Below are 2,558 nucleotides of genomic sequence, written 5' to 3' on the forward strand. Positions count from 1 at the left end.
TGATTTATCTAATAATTATGATAGAATTTTCCATCTTTTCAATTCTGATGCTTTTTTAAGGAAAGGCAAAAATGTATTATGGACAAAATGAAAAACAGAAATAAGTTTTACCTTAAATATTTAGGAAGTTTTTCCTTTTGATTTAATGATGATAAAGGGGTGGTAAACAAAAGTACACAGACTTAACCTTGCAAAATTTCTCTCTTAACCCAGTCAAAAGGAAGACTGTTTTTTAAAATTTTAAACAGCCAAAATTACCCAAAAGGAAGACAGGAAAGTACAGAAGACACAGGAGTATCATTACATCATGATGGATGATAAGGAATAAAATGCTGTTGGCTTGCAAAGTGATAAAAAAATAACTATTTTACCTATGATATTGAGTTATATTTCATCAGATTCCTTCCCTTTCTCCCAAGTACTCCCTTGTCACACCATTAAGATCCTGAGTCATTTCAAAACATGGCAGGAGGTGTGGGGTGATATTAATAATAAATAAAAACACCCAGGATCTCTACTCCAATTTTCTCCACAAGAACACCAAGTAATCTCTATTATTTCATGACATCTTTTGCAAGAGGATACAGATGGGCATTATTACTCCTATTATATGGTTAGAGAACCTATGCAAGAAAACTGGACAAATAATTCTATATCATATTAGCTGAACTAGAATTATAACCCTTGTCTTTCTTGTATCTCTTAGTGAAGAGAAAAGAAGAGACGATTGGGAAAATATCAATTTTATAACCAATTTAAATAACAGTTTAACTGTTATCTAATACTAATTTAAATAACAATTTAAACTGTTCGTGTATGTGTTATAAAAGATTACTGGGAATTCCTTTAATACACATAATAAAACATGGTACATCCCAATTTCCATTTTGTAAATGTAATTTATGCATACAGGTACAATTTATAAGCATATAATTTTATGCATATAATTTATGCATAAAATGGAATGATACTATACATATTGTTTTATAGCCTATTCTTTTGGGGCAACACCATATTGTAAACAACTGTCATACTTCTACATGAACATTTGCAATGGCTGCAATGTGATCCACTCATAGATGTATCCTAATCTATTTATTTTTGGAAAAGTTTTTTCAAAGCCAGCGTGAATACTCTTCTTTGAAAAACACAGAAAGAAACTCCTCACAAAAAATATAGATTGATTCCTTTAAAAAATAATTACTGAGTACCTTTAGTATAGCAGACATTCTGGGGAAATCTCCATGAAAAGACACTCAAGTACCAAAAATTTAGGGAGAAGGGTAAGCAAACAAGCCAGCAATTACAACAGTATGTGGTCAGTCACCCTCGTAAACTAAGGTAACATTTTTTCTAAAAGTTAATATGGGTAAATATGTCAGAAGTTCTAAGACTGTAAATATCTCTTGCGCAGACAAATCCCCTGCTTAAAATTTATTATTAGGATGTAATGGGACAAGGTACAAAGATGGTGGTACAAGACATTTATTGTAGTTTGTTAAATAAAGCAAGAGAGAGGGAGCAAAGTAAATATCCATGAAAAGGGAATGGTTTAAATAAATTAGAAGGCATCGAAAGTGAATAGACCAAGGCCTTGAAAATGGTGATGCAGATGAGGGAACAATATTTGGGATACATTATTAAGATTTTTTTTAAAACAGGCTACATCAACATGTGTGTATGTGCATGCATTGGACGGATAAAATCCAAAATACTAGTAGTGGTTTTCTCTGGGTTATAAGGTTATTGGAGCCTTTTTTTTTTAATGTTCATAGAATTTTCTGATTTATATATAATGAACACAGAACGTTTATTCAAAGTCAAAATTAACATTGAACATTTTTAATAGAATGTGTTACATGAGAGCATACATACAGGGTTCTCTAGGATCCCTTAACAGCCTGAAGCTAAGAGGGAGCGTGGGGATGGCTTCTCAAATTAGTGACACTTATTTAAACTGAATCATCAAGGAAACATAGCAGTTAGCCAGTGATATACAAGGAAATGAGCACACCAGGATGAAGAAACAGCCTACGCAAAGCCGTGGAGGCCTGCACAGCACAGCCCCATCCAAGCAGTGTGAGTAGTTCACATGCTACAGAGAGCAAACTAATATCAGAACTAAAAGTGTCTGTGAGATTTTTAGTATATTCCATTTTTACCTACGCTTGAGTCATTTCTGACAAATAACAAAGGCAAAAGCCAGATGGTCACATGCTAAGGAATGAATGGGAGGTGAGAAAGTGTTGAAAGTAAACACAGGGAGGGGAACATCACACACAGAGGCCTGTCAGGGGGTGGGGGGCAAGGAGAGGGAGAGCATTAGGACAAATACCTAATGCACGCAGGGCTTAAAATCTAGATGGCAGGTTAATGGGTGCAGCAAACCACCATGGCACATATATACCTATGTAACACACCTGCACATTCTTCACACGTATCCCAGAACTTAAAGTAAAATAAAAAATAAATAAAGTAAGCAGGAATTCAAGAAGTGCCGATAAATAGTGAAAAGGGAGAGGGGTAACTAGAGTTGTGAGAAGGTTTTACTTTGAAGT

At 34.3% G+C, this 2,558-nt stretch overlaps 1 annotated feature.

Moving 5' to 3' along the window:
• Nucleotides 1,963–2,122: an enhancer, noted in NCBI's record as "active region_22502". NCBI's record gives its function as "activates an Ori minimal core promoter by ATAC-STARR-seq in GM12878 lymphoblastoid cells {active_cell/tissue: GM12878}" and the evidence as "EXISTENCE:reporter gene assay evidence [ECO:0000049][PMID:35858748]".

Source organism: Homo sapiens, chromosome 5 (genome assembly GCF_000001405.40).
Source record: "Homo sapiens chromosome 5, GRCh38.p14 Primary Assembly".
Taxonomy (NCBI): domain Eukaryota; kingdom Metazoa; phylum Chordata; class Mammalia; order Primates; family Hominidae; genus Homo; species Homo sapiens.